This window comes from Homo sapiens, chromosome 6, assembly GCF_000001405.40.
Source record: "Homo sapiens chromosome 6, GRCh38.p14 Primary Assembly".
NCBI lineage: Eukaryota > Metazoa > Chordata > Mammalia > Primates > Hominidae > Homo > Homo sapiens.
In genome coordinates, this window is record NC_000006.12 from 107,884,096 (window position 1) to 107,898,408 (window position 14,313).

The following is a 14,313-nucleotide window of genomic DNA, read 5'->3' on the forward strand; positions in this document are numbered from 1 at the left end:
AAAAAACAAACAAACAAACAAAAAAATAGCTGGGCATGGTGGCACATGCCTGTAATCTCAGCTACTCGGGAGGCTCAGGCAGGAGAATCGCTTGAACTTGGTAGGCGGAGGTTGCAGTGAGCCACTGCCTGGGTAACAGAGCATGACTCTGTCTCAAAAAAAAAAAAAAAAAGAGCAGAGAGAGATACAGAAAAAGAAACTTAAAACTAAAAGTTGGTTCTTTGAAAAGGCTAATAAAATTGATTAAACCCCTAGGCAAGAATGATCAAGAAAAAAAAAGAATAAAAATTACCAATATTAGGAACAAGAGGCGTAACTATATCCAACAGACATTAAAAGAAAATTATGAATAATGTTACGCCAACAAATTTAATAATTAAGAGGAAATAGACAAACTCCTTGAAAAACATAATTTGCTAAAATCAATAAGAAAAATGCAGAATATATATTAAAGAAATAAACTCTGCGAATAACTCCCTTTAAAAACTCCAGGCCCAGATGGTTTCCCTGGAGAATTCTTCCAGAGACTAAAAAAACAAATCAAAGCTTACACAAACTCTTCTGAGCAAAAAAGGGAATACTTCCTAGCTTGATTAATAATGCCAGCATAAATCTGATACAAAACCTGACAAGGATATTACAAAAAAGGAGAATGACAAACCAATATTTGCTCTTAAAAATAGATGTGAGAATCCAAAGAAAATACTGTAAAATCCAGATAAATATAAAAAGGAATACTAAGCTATGACCAAATGATATTTGTTCCAGGAATGCAGGGATGGTTTCAAATTTTTTAAATCCATCAATCTAATTCAACAGAAAGGAAAAAAGTGGAAAAAAAAAAAAACCTTTAATGAAATTCACTATCTGCTAGTGATAAAAATTGTCAGCAAACTGGAAATAAAAGGAAACATTTCCTTAACCGGACAAAGAATAGCTACAAAAAACTTACACCTAACATCACATTTAGTGGTAAAATAATGTTTGCTTTCTTCCTAAGACCAAAAATAAGACAAGGTTCCTACTATCATCACTCTGAATCAGTATTACACTGACAGTTCTAGCCAGCACAGTGAGGCAGAAAGGAAGAAAGAAAGAAAGGGTATAAAGATTAAAAAGAAAAAAGTAAAACTGTCTTTATTCACAGATGGCAACACTGCATATGTAGAAAATCTTTATTAAAATGTCTACAAATGGTTAGAATTATTGCCAATAAGACTCTTTGATACAAGGTCAATATTTAGAAGCAACTATTTCTATACACCAGCAACAAACACCAAATAAAAATTTTAATGACATTTACAGTAATACCAGAAAGGATCAAATACATAGGAGTAAATCTAACGAAAGATGTGCCATACCTCTGCCACTGGAAATTACAAAACACTGCTGAGAAAAATTAGGGAAGATCCAAATTAATGAAGATAAACCACAATCATGAATAACAAGACTCAGTATTGTTAACATGTCAATTCTCCCCATAATGAACCATGGATTCAATGCAATACCAATGTAAATTTCAGCAGCTTTTTGGGGGGAAAATTGTTAAGCTTATTCTAAAAATTGGCAGGAAATGTAAAGGAATTAAAACAGTTAAGAAAATTTTGATCAGTAAAATAAAGAGTTGGAGCACTTACACTACCATATCTTAAGACTTAACATAAAGCTACAACAATTAAAACTGTATGGCACTGGCATAAGAATAGACAAATAATCAATAGAATGAACTAGAGTCCATAAACAGACCTACAGTATCATCTGTTGTTTTTTTTTAAAATTATACTTAAAGTTCTGGGGTACATGTGCAGAACATGCAGGTTTGTTACATAGGTATACACATGCCATGGTGGTTTGCTGCACCCATCAACCCATCATCTACATTAGGTATTTCTACTAATGCAATCCCTCCCCTAGCCCACCACCACCCGACATGCCCCGGTGTGTGATGTTCCCCTCCCTGTGTCCATGTGTTCTCATTGTTCAACTCCCACTTATGAGTGAGAACATGGCGGTGTTTGGATTTCTGTTCTTGTGTTAGTTTGCTGAGAATGATGGTTTCCAACGTCATCCATGTCCCTGCAAAGGACATGAACTCATCCTTTTTTATGGCTGCATAGTATTCCATGGTGTATATGTGCCACATTTTCTTTATCCAGTCTATCATTGATGGGCACTTGGGTTGGTTCCAAGTCTTTGTTATTGTGAACAGTGCCGCAATAAACATACATCTGTATGTGTCTTTATAGTAAAATGATTTATAATCCTTTGGGTATATACCCAGTAATGGGATTGCTGGGTCAAGTATTCCTAGTTCTAGATCCTTGAGGAATCGCCACACTGACTTCCACAAGGGTTGAACTAGTTTACAGTCCCACCAACAGTGTAAAAGTGTTTCTATTTCTCCACATCCTCTCCACCATCTGTTGTTTCCTGACTTTTTAATGACTGCTGTTCTAACTGGCGTGAGATGGTATCTCATTGTGGTTTTGATTTGCATTTCTCTAATGACCAGTGATGATGAGCTTTTCTTCATATGTTTGTTGGCTGCATAAATGTCTTCTTTTGAAAAGTGCCTGTTCATATACTTTGCCCACTTTTTGATGGAATTGTTTGTTTTTTTCCTGTAAATCTGTTTATGTTCTTTGTAGATTCTGGCTATCAGCCCTGTGTCAGATGGATAGATTATAAAAACTTTCTCCCATTCTGTGGGTTGCCTGTTCACTCTGATGATAGTTTTTTGTTTTTTTGGGTTTTTTTTTTTTTTTTTGCTGTGCAGAAGCTCTTTAGTTCAATCAGATCCCATCTGTCTATTTTGGCTTTTGTTGCCATTGCTTTTAGTGTTTTAGTCAAGAAGTCTTTGCCCATGCCTATGTCCTGAGTGGTATTGCCTAGGTTTTCTTCTAGGGTTTTTATGGTTTTAAGTCTTAAGTCTTTAGTCCACCTTGAGTTAATTTTTGTATAAGGTGTAGTTAGAATGGCAATCATTCAAAAGTCAGGAAACAACAGCTGCTGGAGAGGATGTGGAGAAACAGGAACACTTTTACACTGTTGGTGGGACTGTAAACTAGTTCAACCATTGTGGAAGTCAGTGTGGCAATTCCTCAGGGATCTAGAACTGGAAATACCATTTGACCCAGCCATCCCATTACTGGGTATATACCCAAAGGACTATAAATCATGCTGCTATAAAGACACATGCACACGTATGTTTATTGCCGCATTATTCACAATAGCAAAGACTTGGAACCAACCCAAATGTCCAACAATGATAGACTGGATTAAGAAAATGTGGCACATATACACCATGGAATACTATGCAGCCATAAAAAATGATGAGTTCATGTCCTTTGTAGGGACATGGATGAAATTGGAAATCATCATTCTCAGTAAACTATTGCAAGAACAAAAAACCAAACACCGCATATTCTCACTCATAGGTGGGAATTGAACAATGAGATCACATGGACACAGGAAGGGGAATATCACACTCTGGGGACTGTTGTGGGGTGGGGGAAGGGGGGAGGGATAGCATTGGGAAATATACCTAATGCTAGATGACGAGTTAGTGGGTGCAGCGCACCAGCATGGCACACGTATACATATGTAACTAACCCGCACAATGTGCACATGTACCCTAAAACTTAAAGTATAACTAAAAAAAAAATTTTTTTGTATAAGATGTAAGGAAGGAATCCAGTTCCTGCTTTCTGCATATGGCTAGCCAGTTTTCCCAATACCATTTATTAAATAGGGAATCCTTTCCCCATTGCTTGTTTTTAACAGGTTTGTCAAAGATCAGATGGTTGTAGATGTGTGGCATTATTTCTGAGGGCTCTGCTCTGTTCCATTGGTCTATATATCTGTTTTGGTACGAGTACCATGCTGTTTTGGTTACTGTAGCCTTGTAGCACAGTTTGAAGTCAGGTAGCGTGATGCCTCCAGCTTTGTTCTTTTTGCTTAAGATTGTCTTGGCTATGCGGGCTCTTTTTTGGTTCCATATGAAATTTAAAGTAGTTTTTTCCAATTCTGTGAAGAAAGTCAATGGTAGCTTGATTGGGATAGCATTGAATCTATAAATTACTTTGGGGAGTGTGGCCATTTTGACAATACTGATTCTTCCTATCCATGAGCATGTAATGTTTTCCATTTGTTTGTGTCCTCTCTCATTTCCTTGAGCAGTGGTTTGTAGTTCTCCTTGAAGAGGTCCTTCACATCCCTTTTAAGTTGTATTCCTGGGTGTTTTATTCTCTTTGCAGCAATTGTGAATGGGAATTCACTCATGATTTGGCTCTCTGTTTGTATGTTATTGGTGTATAGGAATGCTTGTGATTTTTGCACATTGATTTTGTATCCTAAGACTTAGCTGAAGTTGCTTATCAGCTTAATGAGATTTTGGGCTGAGACGATGGGGTTTTCTAAATATATAATCATGTCATCTGCAAACAAAGACAATGTGACTTCTTCTTTTCCTAACTGAACACTCTTTATTTCTTTCTCTTGCCTGACTGCCCTGGCCAGAACTTCCAATACTATGTTGAATAGGAGTGGTGAGAGAGGGCATCCTTGTCTTGTGCTGGTTTTCAAAGAGAAGGCTTCCAGTTTTTGCCCATTCAGTATGATACTGGCTGTGGGTTTGTCATAAATAGCTCTTATTTTGAGGTACGTTCCATCAATGCCTAGTTTATTGAGAGTTTTTAGCATGAAGGGCTGCTGAATTTTGTTGAAGGCCTTTTCTGCATCTATTGAGATAATCATGTGGTTTTTGTCATTGGTTCTGTTTATGTGATGGATTACATTTATTGATTTGCATATGTTGAACCAGCCTTGCATCCCAGGGATGAAGCCAACTTGATCGTGGTGGATAAACTTTCTGATGTGCTGCTGGATTCAGTTTGCCAGTATTTTATTGAGGATTTTTGCATCAATGTTCATCAGGGATATTCGCCTGAAATTTTCTTTTTTTGTTGTGTCTCTGCCAGGTTTTGGTATCAGGATGATGCTGGCCTCATAAAATGAGTTAGGGAGGATTCCCTCTTTTTCTGTTGTTTGGAATAGTTTCAGAAGGAATGGTACCAGCTCCTCTTTGTAGCTCTGGTAGAATTTGGCCGTGAAACCATCTGGTCCTGGACTTTTTTTTGGTTGGTAGGGTATTAATTGCTGCCTCAATTTCAGAGCTTGTTATTGATCTAGTCAGGGATTCGACTTCTTAATGATTTAGTCCTGGGAGGGTGTATGTGTTCAGGAATTTATCCATTTCTTCTAGATTTTCTAGTTTATTTATGTAGAGGTGTTTATAGCATTCTCTGATGGTAGTTTGTATTTCTGTGGGATCAGTGGTGACATCCCCTTTATCTTTTTTTATTGCATCTATTTGATTCTTCTCTCTTTTATTCTTTATTAGTCTGGCTAGTGATCTATTTTGTTATCTTTTCAAAAAACTAGCTCCTTGGATTCATTGATTTTTTTTTAAGTGTTTTTTGTGTCTCTATCTCCTTCAGTTCTGCTCTTAGTTATTTCTTGTCTTCTGCTAGCTTTTGAATTTGTTTGCTCTTGCTTCTCTAGTTCTTTTGTGATGTTAGGGTGTCGATTTTAGATCTTTCCTGCTTTCTCTTGTAGGCATTTAGTGATATAAATTTCCCTCTACACACTGCTTCAAATGTGTCCCGGAGATTCTGGTACGTTATGTCTTTGTTCTCATTGGTTTCAAAGAACATCTTTATTTCTGCCTTCATTTCGTTATTTACCCAGTAGTCATTCAGGAGCAGGTTGTTCAGTTTCCATGTAGTTGTGCAGTTCTGAGCGAGTTTCCTAATCCTGAGTTCTAGTTTGATTGCACTGTGGTCTGAGAGACAGTCTGTTATAATTTCTGTTCTTTCACATTTGCTGAGGAGTGTTTTACTTCCAATTATGCTGTCAATTTTGGAATAAGTGCAATGTGGTGCTGAGAAGAATGTGTATTCTGTCGATTTGGGCTGGAGAGTTCTGTAGATGTCTATTAGGTCCGCTTGGTCCAGAGCTGAGTTCAAGTCCTGGATATCCTTGTTAATTTTCTGTCTAATATTGACAGTGGGGTGTTAAAGTCTCCCACTATTATTGTGTGGGAGTCTAAGCCTCTTTGTAGATCTCTAAGAACTTGCTTTATGAATCTGGGTACTCCTGTATTGGGTGCATATATATTTAGGATAATTAGCTCTTCTTGTTGCATTGATCCCTTTACCATTATGTAATGCCCTTCATTGTCTCTTTTGATCTTTGTTGGTTTAAAGTCTGTTTTATCAGAGACTAGGATTATAAACCCTGCTTTTTTTTGCTTTCCATTTGCTTGGTAAATATTCCTCCATCTCTTTATTTTAAACCTATGTGTGTCTTTTCACGTGAGATGGGTCTCCTGAATACAGTATACGGATGGGTCTTGACTCTTTATCCAATTTGGCAGTCTGTGTCTTTTAATTGGGGCATTTAGCCCATTTACATTTAAGGTTAATACTGTTATGTGTGAATTTGATCCTGCCATTATGATGCTATCTCGTTATTCTGCCCCTTAGTTTATGCAGTTTCTTCACAGCATTGACAGTCTTTACAATTTGGTATGTTTTTGCAGTGGCTGGTACTGGTTGTTCCTTTCCATGTTTAGTGCTTCCTTCAGGAGCTCTCAAAGGGCAGGCCTGGTGGTGACAAAATCCCTCCGCATTTCCTTGTCTGTAAAGGACTTTATTTCTCCTTTGCTTATGAAGCCTAGTTTGGCTGGATATTAAATTCTGGGTTGAAAATTCTTTTCTTTAAGAATGTTGAATATCAGGCCCCACTCTCTTCTGGCTTGTAAGGTTTCTGCCAAGAGATCTGCTGTTAGTCTGATGGGCTTCCCTTTGTGGGTAACCCGATCTTTCTCTCTGGCTCCCTTTAACATTTTTTCCTTCATTTCAGCCTTGGTGAATCTGACGGTTATGTGTCTCAGGGTTGCTCTTCTCGAGGAATATCTTTGTGGTGTTCTCTGTATTTCCTGAATTTGAATGTTGACCTTGCTAGGTTGGGGAAGTTCTCCTGGATAATGTCCTGAAGAGTATTTTCCAATTTGGTTCCATTCTCCCCGTCACTTTCAGGTATACCAATCAAACATAGATTTGGTCTTTTCACATAGTCCCACACTTCTTGCAGGCTTTGTTCGTTACTTTTCACTCTTTTTTCTCTAATCTTGTTTTCTCGCTTTATTTCATTGAGTTGATCTTCAATCTCTGATATCCTTTCTTCTGCTTGATCAATATGGCTATTGATACTTGTGTATGCTTCACGAAGTTCTCGTGCTGTGTTTTCCAGCTCCATCAGGTCATTTATGTTCTTCTCTAAACTGGTTATTCTAGTTAGCAATTCGTCTTTTTCAAGGTTCTTAGCTTCCTTGCATTGGGTTAGAACATGCTCCTTTAGCTTGGAGGAGTTTGTTATTACCCACCTTCTGAAACCTGCTTCTGTCAGTTCGTCACATTCATTCTCCATCCAGTTTTGTTCCCTTGCTGGTGAGGAGCTGTGATCCTTTGGAGAAGAGGCATTCTGGTTTTTGGAATTTTCAGCCTTTTTGGGCTGATTTCTCCCCATCTGCGTGGATTTATCTACCTTTGGTCTTTGAAGTCAGTGACCTTCGGATGGGGTCTCTGAGTGGACGTCCTTTTTGTTGGTGTTGATACTATTCCTTTCTATTTGTTAGTTTTCCTTCTAACAGGCCCCTCTGCTGCAGGTCTGCTGGAGTTTGCTGGAGGTCTGCTCCAGACCCTCTTTGCCTGGGTATCACCAGCGGAGGCTGCAGACCAGCAAAGATTGCTGCCTGTTCCTTCCTCTGGAAGCTTCGTCCCAGAGGGGCACTCGCCAGATGCCAGCCAGAGCTCTCCTGTATGAGCTGTCTCTTGTGGGAGATGTCTCCCAGTCAGGATTCATGGGAGTCAGGGACCCACTTGAGGAGGCAGTCTGTCCCTTATCAGAGCTCGAATGCTGTGCTGGTAGATCTGCTGCTGTCTTCAGAGCTGCCAGGTAGGGATGTTTAAGTCTGCTGAAGCTGTGCCCACAACTTCCCCTTCCCCCAGGTGCTCTGTCCCAGGGAGGTGGGGTTTTATCTATAATTCCCTGACTGGGGCTGCTGCCTTTTTTTCAGAGATGCCCTGCCCAGAGAGGAGGCAGTCTGGCCGCAGTAGCCTTGCTGAGCTCAGCATCATCTATTTTACAACAAAGTGCCATTACAATTTACTGAGGAAAGAATGACCTTTTCAATGAATGGTGATGGTATAAGTGGTTCGTATCCCCTACCTTGCACCATTAATGAAAAGTTAATTCAAGATAGGTTTATCAACTACGGTAATAATGTTTCCAGAAGAAAACAGAAAAATACCTCTATGACTTTGGAACAGTCAGGATGTCTTAATTTTTAAGACACAGAAGCATTAGCCATCGATGAAAGATGACCTCACTGACGAAAAAAAGAGACTAATGAAATTGACCTCATTAAAATAATAAACATTAGAAGCTACCAATAAGAGTAAAAATGTAAGGACTCTTATCCAGAATATATACAGAATTCCTACAATTTCAGTAACAAGACAAACAACCCAATAGAAAAAGAAGTTATCCAAATGGCCAGCAAGCATATGAAACGGTGTTCAACATCATTAGCCATTAGGTAAATGCAAACAAAAACCACATAAAGAGATATCACTACAGATCTGCCAAATAGCTAAAAGACTGGTAAAACCAAGTGTTGGTGAGTACGTAGAACAAGACTCTCACACGTAGGTAAGAGCATAAAATGGTACAACTTTGGAAAACAGGCTCTTTTAACGAGTTAAGCATGCACCTACTTTATAATCTAGCAATTCCACTGCTAGGTGGAAAATGACTGCCCACAAAATGCCATGTATAAGAATAAGCATAGCACCCTTTATTCATATTAGGTTAAGAACTACAAACAATCCAAACGTCGAACCACCACAAAACAGGTAAATGTGGTATATTCATACAATGAAATACTATACACACACACACACACACACACACACACACACACACACACACACACACAGAATGAACTACTGCTACAAACAATACAGAGGGATTATCATGAACATAATGCTGAATGAAAGGAGCCATACATAAAATATGACACTTATATGACCTTTAGGAATAGGCAAAACTAATCTATGGCGATTATAGACAGAATAGTGGGAGGTAGAGGGATGGGGAGATGGATGAAGGGCTCACTGACTGAGAAGAGCACAAGGGAGCTTTCTAGGGTATCACGGGTGCATAAATTATGTAAAACTTTTGAAGCTGTACACGTAAGACTTGAACATTTTAGTTTGTATATTTTAGCTTAATAATGATAATAACGATAATAATAAACTTACATTCCCAACGACTCCATTTGCCTGCTTTTGTTTCTGTTGCTTTGACTGTGGTAATAGCACAGGTGTAGGTTTTTTTTTTAAAGGTTTCTTTTTTTTTGATTTAGCAGTTTTCTTGGGTCCTTTACTCTTCTGTTGCCATCCTCCTTTTGTCCTGTTCTTGTTAGTTTCACCCTGCTGTGAATCATAACACGTCACACTCTTAAGTTATAGCAACAGATTCAATTGAAGGTTGTAGTAATTTTTAGGTGGAAATAGCTAAACTGAATTACTCTCCCAGAGCAATATAAGTCAATTGGAAAAGTAAATAAAATATTTCTTTCACTAGGAAAAATAGGTTCGGAAACCCAAGTTTTTACCCCATCTTCTGCTGGCTGTTCCTCTGCAGCACAGATGGACTGCTCCTTTTCAAATACTTCCTGGGGGGCGGCAAGAAGAGAAATACAAAATCTGTCAACCTATATTTATCTTTCAGACAAACAAAGCAATCTTTCAAACTGCATTTTTATTAAGTATTTTTAACTGGCTACAATTGACAAAGAAGGAGACGTTTAGCAATTACTAGCTGATGAATGTGTGCCTATGCAGGTAGATACCTTCTAAAGTATCTCACATCTGTCTTGAACAAGTTTTGAAAAGTACAGTCTACTCAAGTTTACAAACACAGTAAGGATACATACAGTAAAAATATTTGTTTAAAATTTCACTTTTATTCTTAGCAAGCAAACGTTGAGTATTTTAATGTTATGAGAATATATACTATTTTCTGCATTAAAACCTTGACAATATGTCAGTGTGATGTGCGAAATAACAACAACAAAAAAACCCTTGAGACTAGTATTAGTTTATTCACTATTGTCAGTGATACTGCTTATTGGACCTGAGACCTGAGACTAAGAACTGAATCATCACAGGTGGAGCATGGTGGCTCATGCCTATAATCTCAGCACCCTGGGAGGCCAAGGCAGGAGGATTGCTTGACCCCAAGAGTTTGAGACTAACATGGGCAACAGAGCGAGACCCCATATCTATAAAAAAAAAACACCATGAAAATCTACATATCCTAAAGCTATATCCACCAACCATACAATCCATTTAGAATCAGTACAGAACCAGTAAATTTAGGATTTAAGTCCCAGTAAGCATCTATACTAGAAGATGACATGCAGGCTGTGTTTAATAAACTCCCTAGAATTATTAAAGCTAACAAGTAAAAAGTTATAATTTTTAGGCTCTATACAATAAAAACAGCCTAATTCAGGAGTCAACTCTGAACAGTCCACACCACTTGCCTTTTTTTTTTTTTTAAAGACAGTGGTCTTGTTATGTTGCCCAGGCTGGTCTTGAACTCCTGAGCTCAAAGGATCCTCCCACCTCAACCTCCCAAGTAGCTGTGCCACTGTGCCTGCCCTGCCACCTGCTTTTTAAAACAAAGCTTTACTGGAACATGACCACACCCATCTGTAAGTTCAGCAGTTGCTACAAACACTGTATGACTTATAAAACCTAAAATATTTACTATCTGGATGTTTAAAGAAAAAGGTTGCCACTCCCTAGTCTAATTATATCATAACTTCCTCCTTTCACTTATTAGCTGGGTTCTGATACTTGATTACTCCAAGGTACAGTTCATACAAGAATGGGAAGATAAAAACAATTCTTTTCTTTACTCCAGGGCAGTTCCATTCCATTCTTTTTTCTACCAATTACTCCAGAAATGTCAATAGTTCAAGACCAAATTTTTGCTCATTTTTCAGGCTGGGAAGTCCAAAGGATATGGGTAGTCTAGATTTGGATTCTAAACCCAATTTCAGCATTGGTTTCAGTTCCTCTTCTCCCAGGAGGCAGCTCTCTCACCTAGAGTCCATGACAAATGCTTCCTTATCACTTGCTATAATAAAAACAACATCTTTGATTCAATATATCCTACTACAAAACATGATTTTCAGGCCAGGCTTGGTGGCTCACACCTGTAATCCCAGCACTTTAGGAGGCTGAAATGGTAGGATCACTTGAGGTCAGGAGTTCAAGACCAACCTGGCCAACACAGTGAGACCTCCATCTCTCTAAGAAAAAAATATATATATGTTTTTCCTACCAGCAATTTTAGGCATGGGATATAAATGTGGCATGTATTTCTTGCAGATGCTCAAAAACCTCAGAGAAAGAAGCTAAAATCTACCACTAGTTGAATAAATTGAGTCAAAATACTACAGTCTCTACCAGTTGACTCAGGAGAAAATATAAATAATAGAAACTGAAAGCCAGGCATGGTGGCTCATGCCTGTAATCCCAGCACTTTGTGAGGCCAAGGCAGGAAGATCCTTTGAACCCAGGAGTTTGAGATCAGCTGGGCAGCCTACAGAGACCCGCACCTCTATTAAAAAAAAAAAAAAAAAAATTAGGCCAGGCATGGTGGCTCATGCCTGTAATCCCAGCACTTTGGGAGGCTGAGGGGTACATATCACTTGAGGACAGGCATTCGAGACCAGCCTGGGCAACATGGAGAAACCCCATTTCTACTAAAAATACAAAAAATTGGCTGGACATGGTGGTGCACACCTGTGGTCCCAGCTACTCAGGAGGCTGAGGTGGGAGAATCATTTGAGCCTAGGAGGCGGACGTTGCAGTGAGCCGAGACTGCACCACTGCACTCAAGCCTAGGTAACACAGTGAGACCGTGTCTCAACAAAAAATAAAATAGGCTGGGCGCAGTTGCTCATGCCTGCAACCCCAGCACGTTGGGAGACCAAGGTGGGTGGATCACTTGAGGTCAGGATTTCAGGACCAGCCTGGCCAACACGGTGAAACCCCATCTCTACTAAAAATACAAAAATTAGCCGGGCGTGGTGGCACATGCCTGTAATGCCAGCTACTAGAGAGAGACTGAGGCAGAAGAATCACTTGAACCTGGGAGGCAGAGGTTGCAGTGAGCCAAGATTGCACCACTGCATTCCAGCCTGGGTGACAGAGCTAGCTAGACTCCATCTCAAAAAAAAGATGAAGGAAATATATGCAAAATGATTGGACTGGATTTAACAAAAAAGCATGAGACAAGTACCAATCTACATTTAAGTGCATATATGTACGTATGCACTATAAAGATCCAGATGGTAAATATGAGCATGGAGAAAGACAGAAGACGACACACAACAAGATTATGCACTCTGATCATTTGAGGCTGACAAGGGGTTTTCCTAAAGAAAATGAGAGAGACGGGCTGAGTGCGGTAGCTCACGCCTGTAATCCCAGAACTTTGGGAGGCCGAGGCAGGTGGATCACCTGAGTTGAGGAGTTCAAGACCAGCCTGGTCAACATGGTGAAACCCCATCTCTACTAAAAACACAAAAATTAGCCAGGTGTGGTGGCGTGTGCCTGTAATCCCAGCTACTCGGGAGGCTGAGGCAGGAGAATCACTTGAACCCAGGAGATGGGAGGTTGCAGTGAGCCAAGATCACGCCATTGCACTCCAGTCTGGGAAACAAGGGTGAAACTCCGTCAAAAAAGAAAAAAAAAAGAAGGAAGGGAGGGAAGGAGAGAAGAAGGGAAGGAGGGAGGGAGGGAAGGAAGGAAGGAAATGGGAGAGAGAAGGGATCCATGACAAAAACATCATTTAGCTCTACAGGTATACATACATTAGGCTACATACAGGGATGAGCCTCAAAACGAATCATCTCGAAGTGGTGGGATTTTAGGTAGTTTTAATTTGTTCCTATACTTTTCTGCATTGTTTAAATTTTTTCCAGACAACATAAATGTTTCACATTATCAGGAAAAAAAATGTTATTTTTATTGTAATTCTTAGATTTTGAAATGAAAAATAAAAGTCAATTCTCTATAGAACTGACTAAAAAGGAATAGGTGATGAAATTCTCATCAGTAACAACTTCTGTATAGCACTTCACAGCTCAAGAACTATATCCACATTACTTTGTTATGATTATGTTTTATAGAGAATTAAACTATCACACAAAGGATTATTTTCCAGGTTTTTTTAGTGTATGTGAAAACTGTCTCATGAAAATTAATTTAAAATTTCAAAAGAGTTAACAGAATTTGCAAAATTAGATCTTGGTATTACAACAGTTTTGACTTTGACAATGAGGGAAATAAATATAAAAGCCTTGACACACAACTCTTAAAGCATAAAAATACAGATAGACTACTTACAGCCATTGTTTGCCTTGTCAACTTAACCAACACTGTAACTAAGGATCCTACTGTGATGTTGTTGCTATCTTCATCATCTAACACTGTTAAGATGGAAGAAAAAAAACAGCAAAAAATAAAAATCAAGTTCTATGTTAATGCAAACAGCAAAACTTAGCTTACCCAAATTAGTTTGGCACTTTAGTATTTCAAGCATATTATATTTTAAATTTGTTAAAAAAATAACTGATTGACTACTCTGTATAAGGCTCTCCAGTAGATGCTTTTAACAATTAATTCATTTAATCCTTAAAATAGCTCTACAAAGTATTTCCACTTTCAGAAACTAAGGTTTAGCCAGGCTTGGTGGCTCATGCCTGTAATCCCATCACTTTGGGAGGCCAAGGTAGGCGGATGGCATGAGCTCAGGAATTCGAGACCAGCAGGGCAACATGACAAAACCCTGTCTCTATAAAAAATACAAAAATTAGCCAGGCGTGATGGTGCCCGCCTGTAGTCTCAGCTAGTCGGGAGGCTGAGGTGGAGGATAGCTTGAACCTGGGAGCCGGAGGTTGCAGTGAGCCCAGATCGTACCACTGCACTTCAGGGCAAGAGTGAGACCCCATCTCAAAAAAAAAAAAAAAGAAACTGAGGTTCAGAAATAAAGTAAAATACCCAAACCCACACAACACCTGCATTCGCACACTAAGCTTCAAACCCAGGTTTCTGAAAACACAGTATAATGTGAGACCTACCATAACACAGTTCTCTCACAGTGACA

General features: G+C 39.0%; 1 protein-coding gene across 3 annotated transcripts in view; it reads right to left on the reverse strand.

The window, feature by feature from the left end:
• SEC63 (SEC63 protein translocation regulator) overlaps positions 1–14,313 on the reverse strand; it is a 90,453-nt gene that overhangs the window by 16,340 nt on the left and 59,800 nt on the right. For all 3 annotated transcript variants that reach the window (XM_047418131.1, NM_007214.5, XM_047418130.1), the window contains 3 exons: positions 13,554–13,636; positions 9,743–9,802; positions 9,387–9,560 (listed from right to left, as the gene is read on the reverse strand). In XM_047418131.1, the coding sequence (XP_047274087.1) occupies positions 9,387–9,560; positions 9,743–9,802; positions 13,554–13,636 (317 nt within the window). The remainder of the gene's footprint in view (positions 1–9,386; positions 9,561–9,742; positions 9,803–13,553; positions 13,637–14,313) is intronic.